Source organism: Homo sapiens, chromosome 8 (genome assembly GCF_000001405.40).
Source record: "Homo sapiens chromosome 8, GRCh38.p14 Primary Assembly".
Classification (NCBI taxonomy): domain Eukaryota; kingdom Metazoa; phylum Chordata; class Mammalia; order Primates; family Hominidae; genus Homo; species Homo sapiens.
Window position 1 is genome coordinate 84,337,064 of NC_000008.11, and position 14,121 is coordinate 84,351,184.

The 14,121-nt window shown below is 35.6% G+C and overlaps 1 protein-coding gene across 53 annotated transcripts in view; it reads left to right on the forward strand.

Moving 5' to 3' along the window:
- Positions 1-14,121, forward strand: part of RALYL (RALY RNA binding protein like) — a 739,058-nt gene that overhangs the window by 154,277 nt on the left and 570,660 nt on the right. For 16 of the 53 annotated variants that reach the window (NM_001413301.1, NM_001413311.1, NM_001413307.1 and 13 more), the window contains one exon: positions 9,056-9,087. The exons of the other annotated variants lie outside the window; for them this stretch is intronic. In NM_001413301.1, coding sequence (NP_001400230.1) covers positions 9,056-9,087 — 32 coding nt within the window. The remainder of the gene's footprint in view (positions 1-9,055; positions 9,088-14,121) is intronic. 53 annotated transcript variants of the gene reach the window in all.

The following is a 14,121-nucleotide window of genomic DNA, read 5'->3' on the forward strand; positions in this document are numbered from 1 at the left end:
ACAGTTGGTTATGTATAATAATTATGGAAAAGGGTTAATCAAATTATTACATTTTTACTTGAAGCCTACATCACAGCATTACAATGGAAAGCTAGACTGTTACTATTTTGTTTTCACAAGTGTTTGGTGCATATTTGATTCATTTCAGTATTGTTAGAAAATTAAACTGGCATTATTTTTCTGATGATGTCTCACATTGTCGTCACTATAGAAATGAGGCTAATAATGCCAGCTCATTCGAGGAATATAGCTTCAGGAATGAATTGTTTTTTTTTTTTCTTTATATTGAAATGGTAGTTTTTTAATAGAGATACTGAATGGTGTATTTCAGATATCTTTAAAGGAACACTTAATTCAGAATTGAGTGCAAAAAAGCTGCAGAAGATCATTCATCCATGTAGATACAATTATATTGTGGTGGATAATGGATTTGTGTTATTCTTAATGTCTATACATGGCTACAGTAAGACTGAAGTTGTTTTTATAACTTTTCAGTACATTGAATGAAAGAAAGTATGACAGCAGAAAACATCTGATAAATTAAATGTGACATGTTTTTTATTCATATAAAATGGTTTCTGAGCAGCTGGTAATTGTGAATATTTCAGCAGTCATTTTTGATGTGGAATACTTCTTCTGTGGTAAACACTAATGAGTTGTGAGTTGTACTTCATCAAATTGACAGTTTCCTTACTTTTGTAAATAGGCATTTGATACACCTTGTAAAAGCTGGTAAAAGACACTCAACTCACCTTTTAAATGCATAGAATTTTCCCCTTATTCTCTTTCTACATTGTGCCATCCACTTTTCCTATAAGGAAGATAATGCAAAGAAAGGCTACCATTCACTGGGAGCTTAAAAAATTCCCAGAATCATTCTGGGTACCATAATATACACTATCCATTCATAATTCTTACAGCTCAAATTAGCTCAAAGGAAAAACTAAGACTGTACATTGGCTGGGAGAGTAAACGAGTGCACCAAGAAATTACCCGTACTCAGGTTTTGTAAAGTGTCTTAATGTGAAATAGTTGTGTTTCTTGTTATTTTAAATACTAGGTATTTTTAGAGAATGAGATACCTTACATTCCTCCATCTTAAAAAAAAAACTTTATTTATAATAATCCTGTAAAATAGGAATTTGATGTACTATTCTCATTTTATAGGTAAGAGAAATTACATAGAGATGAATGTTAGTCACAGAGTGGGACCATAGTGCAGACTCCTGTTCTTTAATATATTGTATTGTTTTTACTTAGAGAAATAAATTAATTGTACTAGGGACATGAAAGAACATAGAATAAGAATTGTCCGAAGAGAACTAAAGATGTTAAGATTAATTAATCAGGAAGTATATTTTAACAAATCTAAGAGGATAAAATTAGCTGTGGTACTGCAATTAAAAAAAAAAAAAAACCTCTTGAAACAGATTGAGTATTATTAACAAGATTAACCCAACTCATTCTTTGGGGAGGGAACATTATATATTAAGAGCTCTCTTAAAACATGAATAATGCTACATATTTTGAGTGGAAGTGTAACTTAGTGCTCAACTAGCACAGCTGAATTAGTACAGCTGCTGCTAGACTTTCAAATCAAACAGCCCTCTTTGGTCTTTTTTATACCTTGGTATTGTATATAATATTTCTGTGAGTAAAGAGTTCTGATACTAACACATTGTCTGACATAGTCATCCATATTTTAATGTAAATTACACTGATAATAATTTAGAATACCACTAATAGACATGATAGTGATAGCATCTTATGCTTTTACAGAATATTATTATTTTCCAAAAGAGTTTTATTTTGATGGTTCTGCCAATATGTCAAAATCAGTAACCTGCAATCCCTTCAAAAACAAGTGTATAGAAATTTTAAAAATATAACAAACCTATTTTATAAAGGCATAAATAAGTTCACAAAATATAAGAGGTATCCTCAGAAACCAAATACGAACAAGTCACCAAAAGTCAGGGTGGCGCAGACATGATCTGACGATGGGGTTAACTAGAGCTAAGGGGATTGGGGTCAATGTTCTCAGTCCAGAGGTTTGTGATGTCCCATTTGTACACATGAGCAAATTTACATCTTAGTTTTTTGCATAAATTGGAACCACCAAGAGACTGCATGTAACCTAGATGTACTAGAACAGGGGTCCACAATGCCCTGGCCATGAACCAGTACCAGTTTGTGGCCTGTTGGGAACCAGGCTGCACAGTGGGAGATGAGTAACAGGCAAACCAGTGAAGCTTCATCTGTATTTGCAGCCACTCCCAATTCCTCGCATTACCACCTGAGCTCTGCCTCCTGTCAGATTAATGGCAGGATTAGATTCTCATAGGAGCATGAATCCTATTGTAGGTTGTGCACTCCTTATGAAAATCTAATGCCTGATGTTCTGTCATTGTCTCCCAGATGGGACCATCTAGTTGCAGGAAAACAAGCTGTGGGCTCCCACTGATTCTACATTATGGTGAATTGTAGAACTATTTTATTATATATTACAATGTAATAATAATAGAAATAAAGTGTACAACACATGTAATGTTCTTGAATTATCCTGAAAGCACCCCACCCCCCAGTTTGTGGAAAAATGGTCTTCTGCAAAACCAGTCCCTGTTACAAAAAAGCTTAGGGACTGCTGGACTCGAAAACATTTCCCCCGTAAGCATAGGGATGTGACAGAAAAATTTGCAGTAAGCTGAAATCGACCTATGCCTCTTCCTAGTTCTGCTCACAAGACAACTTAGTACGAAATCTAGTGCTTCCTCCATGAGTTGTTCTTTCATTTTATGAGGACAGTTATGTGATATGGTTTGGCTGTGTCCCCACCCAAATCTCATCTTGAAGTGTAGCTTCTATAATCCCCACATGTCATGGGAGGGACCCAATGGAAGGTAATTTAATCATGGGGATGGGTTTTTCCCATGCTGTTCCCGTGATAGTGAATAATTCTCATGAGATCTGATGGTTTTATAAAGGACAGTTCTCTTGCACATGCTCTCTTGCCTGCCATCATGCAGGACAGGGCTTTGCTCCTCCTTTGCCTTTCACCGTGATTGTGAGACCTCCCCAGCCATGTGAAACTGTGTGTCCATTAAACCTCTTTTTCTTTATTAAATTACCTAGTCTCAGGTATTTCTTCATAGCAGTATGAAAATGGACTAATACATCAGGTCTTTGCTAGGTCTTGCCTTTTCTAAACTAAACTTAAAAAAAGTAGTAAGAACACAGTGTAAGATCTACTCACTTGATTTTTAAGTGTAAAATACAGTGTTATTAACTGTGGGTACAGTGTTGTACAGCAGATCTCTGGAACTTAATCATCTTACATAACTGAAACACCATATCCATTGAACTGCAACTCCCCATTTCCCTTCCTGCTAACCCTTGGTAACCACTATTCTACTCTTTATTTAAAAGACTTTGACTATTTTAGATACTTCATGTAAGTGGAACCATGCAGTATCTATTCTTCTGTTACTGACTTATTTTACTTGGCATAATGTCCTCCAGGTTCATCCATGTCATCACATTTGGCAGGATTCCCCTCCTTTTTAAGGCTGAATAAATTCCATCACTATTCAAGTCACTATTTTAAGACGAAAAAATCAATTGCTTGTATATAATACATTTTTTAAATTCATTCATCAGTGGGTAGTTAAGGTGTTTCCATATCTTGGCTGTTTTAAATGATGCTGCAATGTGCATGGGAGTGCAGATATCTCTTCTAGACCCTGATTTCAAATCTTTCAGATATATATCCAGAAGTAGAATTGCTGAATTATATTGTAATTCTATTTTTAAGTCTTTTGGAATTGCTATACTGTTTGTATACAGGCCACACCATTTTACATTCCTACCAATACTGTATAATGGTTCCAGTTTTTCCATAATTTTGCAAGTATTTGTTGTTATTTTTGGTAATAATAGCCATTCTAACAGGTGTGAGATGATATCTCATTGTGGTTTTGATTTACGTTTCCCTAATGATTAGTGGTATGGAGCATCTTTTCATATGCTTGTTGACCATTTGTATGTCATCTTTGGAGAAATGTCTATTCCAGTTCTTCCTGTTTTCTAACCAGGTGATTTTTTTTTTTTTTTTTTGCCATTGATTTGTAGGAGTTTTATAATTTTGGCTATTAACTATTTATCAGATAAGTGGTTTGCCAATGAGAGACTAAATATTACCATTTTATTTAAATATTATGTGCACAGTCATTAGTATTACAATATTATATTCCCCTTGCTCTTAACTGGGTGAAGCGTGCAGGTTAACATGTGAAATTCTGTGCTCAAATTCTAGTTCTTTGAATCTAGTTTCCCTGATTTTAAAATTGAGAGGATTGCTACCTGAGACATAAACAAGATTAGGAAGCATGTAACCCCTTAGCCCCTGATACATAGTAAATACTTAACAATTTCCTTCTTAAAATGATTATTTTTCTATAATGTATCGGTATCGCATTTATATATCTACAATTCTGTTATAACATACCATTTGTTTACAAACTAATTTAAATTGCCCTTGAAAAAGTTAACCATATATAAATAAGTTAATTCAGAAGAATGACTGCTTGTTTTATTTAAAATTTAAAACATTCCTAATAATAGAAATACATCATTCTTGAAAATATGCCCATAGAACCCATAGAAGCTTCTTATGTAAGGATTTTGTTTGAAAATATCAATGTGAACCAGCTGTAAAGATAACCATTGTACAGATACATTTCACCCATCTAGAAGTCACTATTCAAGTCACTATTCCAAAGTAATCAATATCTATCATTTGAGAGTTATGGAGAATTTCCCATATGTAGAATGTAATAGACAAAAGTAGCTCATACCTCATAAAATTGTGATAAGGAGGATTTAATTAGGTTGCACATGATAACCTAGTGTAACTAACACAGAGGATAGCCCATAGTAAAGATTAGATGCATTATTATCATTTGCATTATGATAAAATAGGCAAGAAAAAATATTGTTAATAAGACTGGACTGACAAGATAAATGAAATATGAACACACACATACACTAAAGTTGATGAAATTCATTTATGGGAGAACCAAACCTTTACTTAGGGAACTGTAATTCAGAAAATAAAAAGGACAAAAAGAGCAGAATCTATTAATGTCAGTCAAGTTCACAGCAGCAAAAATTGTTAACAATGCCTTAACAGTGAGTGAGGGTACAGAGCATCGTTCAATATATATATATATATATAAAACTCAAAAAGTGTGGTCCTCCCAAATCATTTAATATGAGAACAGCCAGGCCTACACACATTAATCGTCTGTGAAGGCATCAGCACAGTCCACCATAGGGCCAAATTGATGTCTATGGTTTTTATTTTCTGGGATAACAGAGGAATATATAATACACTGAACAGAAAATGAAAATTGAGCAAACCAAAAGCTTTGGTGCTTGAAGAAGCGAATTTCTATTATCTAGAAAAATCACTGAAGTAGGTGTTTCTTTCCAAATGATGATGGATAAGCCAAGCATTTCTATAATTGCATACTGAACAGATAAATGTTTGACCTAGGCTTCATATGCCAATTACTCCTAGATGTGGTACAGTGGGATCCAGCTAGCCAAGGTAATGCAGATTAATATCATGTCACTTCTGCATGCCTGGGTAATATGTTGTTTCATCAGATGGTGCTTTACCTTGGCTTCCTTTGGTGTATGAACATATTACAGCAGAAGAAAATGGTCTGGGTGGGAAAATCTGATGAAGCAGGTGATGTAAACTGTCTGTAATCACTAAATATAATGAGTGGACAAGTAGAACTCCTGTTAGGCCTCTAGCTTTTCCTACTGTTTGGAACTTGAATCAAAAGTCATAATAGAATTATGCCAATCTTTCCTATTTTTAAAGTGCACAGAAATTCTGCAAAGTAATATGATACTTAGACACTGACCATTTGGTAGGCAGCACAGAAGTAAAGAAGTCACTCTTCATTCAAAGTGGATCACAGCATTAACAGCTGTGATTCTTGCTATTAAAGAATAATTTTTATCAAAGGAGTATATTTTAAAGATTTAGTTCTATAGGTTACTTCTCTATGAAAATTTAAAGAAAATCCTTCCACAGAGAGGTATGGAGGATATTTACTGTCAATAGGTTTATACTATTAATGAGTTATATTCATAGTGGTATGAAATATTAGTTATGTCAGCTTCTTACAATTCATGGGACTTTTGCAGACCTTCAGAAATGCAGATAAGCATTGCTCTGCTCACTTTGAATATCGGATACATCCTCCTTGCACTTTGAAAAGCAAATAGAATACATACATTTATCAATGCTGACATTGATACCTTTCTACATAGCTCAGCAAAGAATCATCCAAATAATACAAAATTGAAAAACTGGAAGGCTAAACAAAATAAGCCGTCTTATATTTTACAGTTGAAATACTTAGATGTAAGTGAATTAAGTAATTCTACCCCTATATAAAGTGATATTTTTTCCTCCTCTTAATTCTTTCTTTCAGGAAGAAGCACAGATAAACAGAAGGCTAACACAATATGATTTATTTATTTATTTATTTATTTTATTTCATTTTTTTAAGAAAAGGTCTCACTCTGCCACCCAGACTGGAGTACAGTGGTGCAATCATGGCTCACTGCAACCTCAACCTCCAGGGCTGAACCATTCCTCCTGCCTCAGCCTCCCAAGTAGCTGGGACTATCAGCATGAGCCACCACACTGGGCTAATTTTTGTTGTTTTTGTAAAGATGAGGTTTAATCATGTTTCCCAGGTTGGTCTTGAACTCCTGAGCTCAAGAGTTTTTTTGTTTGTTTGTTTGTTTTTTTTTTTAACAATTGAAAACGAAACAGAAATAACTTATATAAAAGTTTAAAGATAACTGGATATGACCTGCGGTGATATATGGCAATTGTTTTACTGATTATGTTTAGAAAAATCCCCAACGTGTTCAATTTCATATTAAAATGCCTAGTATTTATGGTTTATAATTATCATTTTTAGTGCAATCTTGCGCAACAGGAATTTCATTTTTTATAAAGTTATTTGTCACAGTGGGAGGATTTGTTTTCTCTTTAGTTTATATTTTATAACAATTGCAACCCATGATTTCACAGAGGAGACTATGATTAGGTATAATACAGATTAACCTATTAAGAAATACTTGTAAATCTTACAATTGATCAAGATTATTTTGTTATGCAAAAAAATAGAAAATTTTATTATTATTGAAAGTGCTATCATCATACCTTTAAACTTTATAATTGTATGTATTTTTCCTTTATTCAAGGAAGATTATTTAAAGTAGTGTAACATACCTACATACTTTCAGGAGCTGGGCAGCGACATAAGTGAATAAATGAGTCTGTTGGGGAAGGTGTAGGATGATTGCATTAACCTGCTTTTAGTTTGACATAGTAACACCTACCTCATTATATTTACTTTCTTATTCTGGGGGTGTGTTTGTTTCGATTTAATTTAATTTTTTGTAATTTATTGTGACTAATTGTGGGGTACAGAGTTATGATATATGTATGCAGTGTGGAATAATTAAATCACACTAACATATCTATCATCTTAAATATTAATTATTTAATCTCTCAATTGCAACTTTCCACCCTTTGATAACATTATCCCATCCCAATTCCCATCCCCTTACCACCAATCTACCCTCTGCTACTATGAGTTCAACTTTTTTAGATTCCTCATATCAGTGAGATGAGTGGTATTTGTCTTTATGTCCTTGGCTTATTTCACTCAACATAATGTCTTCCAGGTTCATTCATGTTGTTGCAAATTATAGAATTTCCTTCTTTTTTCAAGGCTGAGTAATATTACATTGAGCTTACAAACCACATTTTCTTTATCCATTCATCCACTGATGGACACAGGTTGATTTCAGATAGTGGCTTTTGTAAATAATGCTGGAGTGAACATGGGAGTAGATATCTTTTTAATTCCTCATGATATATACACCAAAGTGGGATTGCTGGATCATATGATAATTCTAGTTTCAGTTTTTCTTTCTTTCTCTTTTTTTTTTTTTTTAGGAACTTCCATACAGTTTCCCATAATGGCCATACTATTTTACACTCTCACCAACAGTGTGCAAGGGTTCCCTTTCTTTACATTGTTACACATCTGGGAGACAAACAGAACATGTTTATGGGGTGTAGTGGGCCTCAGAAAGTCACCAACTATAGCCTCCTCTATTACGTTACTCAGTAAGATAGATGCTCCCAGGGAGATGTTAGGTCAATGGTATCTGCCAACTTTTCATTAGAAAGTATTACCCTCCCCTCACAAAGGCAGTTTAGAAATACTTCATCATGGAAGTGAAATAAAATGCTGTCATAATTTCTCTACTATGACATATCTACCTCAGTCTCTTCCTGTTCAATCCATATACACATTACCCTTGCCCCAGGGTTATCTTTAGATACATGAGTCTTTTTATGTATTCTGTAAGTAGTTAATGGATTTAATTCAATGAAATGATATCACCTTCAAAAGAAAATCTAAACTCTTAGACTATTACTAAAGCAGCCTTTGGGAAGACCCTCCAGCATCTCCCTCTCATTTTCATTTCTCCCTGTCTACCTTCCTTCACGCCCTAATATATAGAAACACATCTCATTCACTTCCCCACTAATGTAAATTGAGCACCACAAAGAAGTCAGGCACTATGCTAGATACAAGTGTTAAATATGAGTGAACGAGAAAGACTTCATCCTACTCTTGGGGAGCTTCACAGAGGCTAGTGGGGTTGACAGATATTAATCAAATAATTATGATGCATGCCGTGGAAAAGTTTAGGTACCATGGACTGTGCATCAGTTTTCCAAGTTGCTTTTTACTATTTTACTCATACCTGCCCTTTCCATCTGTGAAACCTTCACTCAACCCTCCAATCCTCGTTGATTTACCTCCTTGGGACAATTATTATAACTTGTATGCATTTCTCTTATTCAAAATTATCCTAATGAAATGGGTTGCTTGGTTGCTTATATGTTTTCACATGAGCAATTGCTCTATTTTCTCTTCCTTTGCAGATATAGCCCTTGGCGAGGTGCCTGGCTCCATAGTAAGTGTTCAACAAATGTTTGAATAAAATATTGCATTGTTGAATTTTAAATGTATTTAAGCAAATTGATAACCAACATCTGACCAGATTTCCCAAATTTAGATGCAATGTCAGATGCTTCTTTTAATGGTGTCAGAGATTGGCTGACAGGCTTGCCTGTCTTTAAAGTAATTTATTACCCATGTTGGTTTTTTGGTATAAATGGTTACTGTTTGTCATTGGAGTATGTTTGTATTCATGGTAGAGATTAAATACATATGTATTGCATGAATTAACAAATGGTTATGCTAGTTGTAGGAAAGATTGATAAGTGAAAGTTTCTAATGCTCTTTTTTTGAGATGGAGTCTCACTCTGTCACCCAGGCTGGAGTGCAGTGGTGCTATCTTGGCCAATTGCAACCTTCGCCTCCTGGGTTCAAGTGATTCTTGTGCCTCAGCCTCCCAAGTAGATAGAAGTACAGGTGTGTGCCACCATGTCCAGCTAATTTTTGTAGTTTTAGTAGAGACAGGGTTTCGCCATGTTGGCCAGGCTGGTCTCAAACTCCTAATTTCAGGTGATCTGCCCATCTTAGCCTCCCAAAGTCTAATGTTCTTTACAGGCCTATGAGTATTTTATGCCAGAATATTGATTTTATTGGAGAACTAAAAATTGATACAATCCATAGCTTGAAAGTAAAAATGTCAAAATACTTAAGACCATACACAAATAAGTATTCTAAAATAAGGAATTGATATTTATAAAATATTTTTAAGAAATAAGGACATTTGGCCAGGCACGGTGGTTCACACCTGTAATCTCAGCACTTTGGAAGGCTGAGGCAGGTGCATCATAAGGTCAGGAGTTCAAGACCTGCCCGGCCAATGTGGTGAAACCTCGTCCCTACTAAAAATACAAAAAAACTTAGCCAGGCTTGGTAACAGGTGCCTGTAAACCCAGCTACCTGGGAGGCTGAGGCAGGAGAATCACTTGAACCTGGGAGGCAGAGGTTGCAGTGAGCTGAGATCATGCCACTGCACTCCAGCCTGGGTGACAGAGCAATTTAAAAAAAAAGAAATAAACACATTTACCATTACAGTATTTTTTAGCCCCCCAATCTTGTTATTATTAATAACAATAATAAAATAATAAGCCCTTGACTTCTTTACTTTGCTGTCCTTTTCATTTATTTTGCATTTCTTCATTTTCCTTGTGCAGATTTTATACTCTGCTATCCTCAGCCACCCTATCCGTATCATTTCTATGGTATCTCTGACCTCAACTATGTTTAGATTTCTCCGTCTTCCCCTAATTACTGGCATCTTCCTTTTTTATGTGCTTCTGCTTTCTCTGATTTTGGGCATTAGATCCTTCCTAATCTGCCCTCTCTAAGGTTAATATCCTGTTCTTCTTGGTTAGTTAGGATCTCTTCCCATTTAGTTTTAATCTAATATATCCTTCTTCTCGTCTCTCAAACTAGTTTTGCCCATTGCTTCACCTTGGTTCTAATCCAGGGAAGGACATAAGTCCCTAATGTCTATTTTCTGAGCAGACAAAATAAAATATGCATAAACTGTATCTGAACATTTTAGTCCTCTAATTATTTGTGCTGTTTCACTGCAACTGAAATGAAAAACTCCAGCCTCTGCACAGGATTAGCATCAGCAGCTTTGCCTCTTAGGCTCTATTAAAAGAAAATCTGTAGACAAATTAAATTCAGCAAAGCTTGCTATTTGAGTAAAGAACAATTCATGAGTTGGGCAGCACACTGAGCCTGTAGAGGTTCAGAGAGCTCTCCCCAGTAGTAGATAGTATTTATAGACAGAAAGGGAATTGATGAAAAAAACCCAGCTTGATAGGTTAAAGTTTAGCATTTGCTTTTTTTGGGCATGGTGGGACAAGACATTTGCCTTATATGGACCTAACCTGATCAGTTGGCAGCCTGTGATGGCTGGAGTTTGGCTGCTGTGATTGGCTGAGACTTAGCTATTTGTTGGAGGAATATACTATTAAGTTAGATTACAGTTTATTTGCATACTAAGTAAGGTTGCAATTTGCTACATATATAGGCAGCTTTAAGACAAATTTAATTTAACAGCTCTATTGCCAAAATCACTTCTGAGGAAGTAACTCACTATTTGGTATCTTTGCACCAGGCTATACTGTCAAAAGGTATGGATTTTCAGAGACAGAGTTTGCTGACTGAGTAATGACTGAGCTGAAAGTTGGCTTGCATGCACTTTTTCTGTATTTTCTACTTACATTGTTGCATTTCACTTACCTTGCAAGAGCTCACTGCATGTCCCACTGACATTCATTCCTCCCAGGCTATTTTGCACCCCCATTCCCATCAGCATCACTTTACAAAGTGGGTTATTTTACCCAGCCAGTTGTCCATTTAATGTACAGAAGGGTCTGTATAAAGGGTCTGATCAAATCATTGCACAATGCCCAGGCAATTACACCACCAGGAACAATTACTGCTTTATCGACCGTAAACATTTTTCTGAAGTTAAAAATAACAAGAAAACCATATTCCAGCAGTTTCTCAAAAGGTATTCAATTTAAAAATTTAATCCAATACTACAAATATTTATTTAGAACCAACTTTTACAAGTTCTGAGCCTATAATAGAAAATTGTGAGGGAAAAGGATTATGGTGTATGTATGTTCGGGTGGTGTATGTGTGTAAATTATCATAAGATGCATGGAAAGTTTTGACATTTCTGGGCCAGGGTTAGGGTTAGGTGAGTTAACCATAGGTTAACTATGATTAACTAACCTGTGATTAACTCACCTATGGTTAGAGTTGCCCTCAATTGTAGGCTAAGTTATTCAGGCAACCCTGAAACAGGCTGGGTAGGGAAGAGAAGCCTAACACCACTGGTTTAGATTTGCTGCTTAAGGCTTGGGACAAGTGTGCCTGAGATCAACCTATGGATAGTCCGAGGTCCAGGGAACAGCCATTCAGAGGCAATTTTTCTTGGCTTTCCCTGGATTTACCTTCCTATTTAAGTTTTATCATATGTCCAGACCACACTTAGAACTAGAACCAACATTTAAAACCCAGTTTATTTGGCTAGGATTCCAGGTACTCTATTTAACACTTACCACCCATCCCTCTCCAGGGCTAGGTCTACAAATTAGATGATTCATTCAGAAAAATGCTATTGCACCTTTCTTATCTTTATAACAGCAACTTGTATTGTGAATTTTCATGAGTACTTCACGTAGATTATACCCAGTTCTCACAGGAACATTAGGTATTACAGTTTAAGAAACTGAACAAGGGGAAGAGCTGAAATCCAAACACACATCAGTCTTTGACTAAATTTTGGTTATCATAAGTTCCTGAGAACTACTGCTGTCCCCTGCCTACCACACTGGACATCTTTGGTTAGTAGGTCATCCTTATGCAGTTACTTGAGCTTCAAATTCTGGAGTCTGCCTTGATATTTTCTCTCCCCCCACCTACCCTTATATTCAGTCATTATCAGTCATTGTTCTTAATTGCAATCAACAGATGCAAACACTTAAGTATCAAATGTGTTCATTATAATATGCTTATTAGAATACAGAATTGACAAGAGTTCTGGGAAGCCAAGTTTGAGGCTACATCTTCAAGAGATATGCTTAGAAGCATATCACAAGGCTGGCCTTATATGAACATGAGCCTAGTAACTACCATGCAATGAGATGGAGGAATCACCCATCACCTTAATGAGGTTAGGCCTGAGCCAAGAACTTGACCTTGCATCATTTTGGTCATCATTGTCTCTGCTGCTGTCACCAAGTATATCCAGACACCACTGCACAACTCCCAATCCCCCAGCAAAAATATAAACAACTTCTTCCCATTACTCCCATTTGAATACAAGTGTCTCTTGATTTTTGCATTTGATTTCTGGAGCCTAGGTCATATGTCTGTATCACAACAGCAAAGGAATCTGCTTATTTCAAGTTGAGCTTCTGAACTGGAAAGGTAGAATTCACAGTTTGAAAATATATTCAGGTACCAAATGGCTTTTCGTAAGACACTGGGCAGCCCCATGTATGACCAATATCCACCACAGTTGGCTAGGCCTATAGCTTTATTCCCCCACATACCCTGACACTCCCAATATCTTCTGCAGTCAACCAGTTCACAGGGATCTAAAATGCACATCAGGCTCCAAATGTGAATGCTTATAACAGTTTGCTATACTGCAAAACTGCAGAAATAGTTGCTGTTGAGTGCTGTTTTTCAAGTGTTTTTGTAAAATGAAGAATTTTTTTAAATATTTGCCTATGAATTTAGTTTGCTTTATTTTTCTTGTTTTATAATGTTCATTTGAAATCTGTATTGTCCCTGGTCGAGACAGTACTACACTGGTCTGCTTGTGGGTTCCAGAATGAAATAAATAAGTCTGTAAGAAAATAAGCAACTAAGTAAATTAGTAAGTAAAAACAAGCCATGCATGTATTACCTCAGAACCAGGGCACTAGTAAACTTCACAAAGCCACGTTAATCAGAGTGCTACACCATTTACAGTGACAAGAGGCCCCTTCTCATTATTATTGGGACAATACTGCCAAATAAGCAAAACACAAATAAAACTGTCCAGTGGAAATTGGCTAAGAGTAATTAGGGGCAAGTAGTTTTATGTAGACTAAAATACTATAATTAGAAGGGAGGATTTGGAGCACTATTTGAAGGAGAGAAATCAATAGAAGAGTTGCTTTCTATGCTCCGAAGAGCTTTGCCAGCTATCTTTGTTCAGTGGTAAAATAGAATTATTTTACAGTAGGAAATAAACCTGGGCACTAAGGATCTCTGTTGGGGAGATACCTGGGACTGCCTTGGATAAGGAGGGGGTGAGCGGATTGTGGCATGACATTGTTTTTCATAACATGTTAATAGCAAAACAAAATACCAAAAATAATAATGATGAATAATTTATTCCTGTTTGTTCTCGGTTAACTCTTCTTTAGAACTTTAAATATCAATATCGAACAGTGTTACATTAAAGTAAAATGTTTATTTATAACAGACAAAACCAGTTCTATACTAAATAATA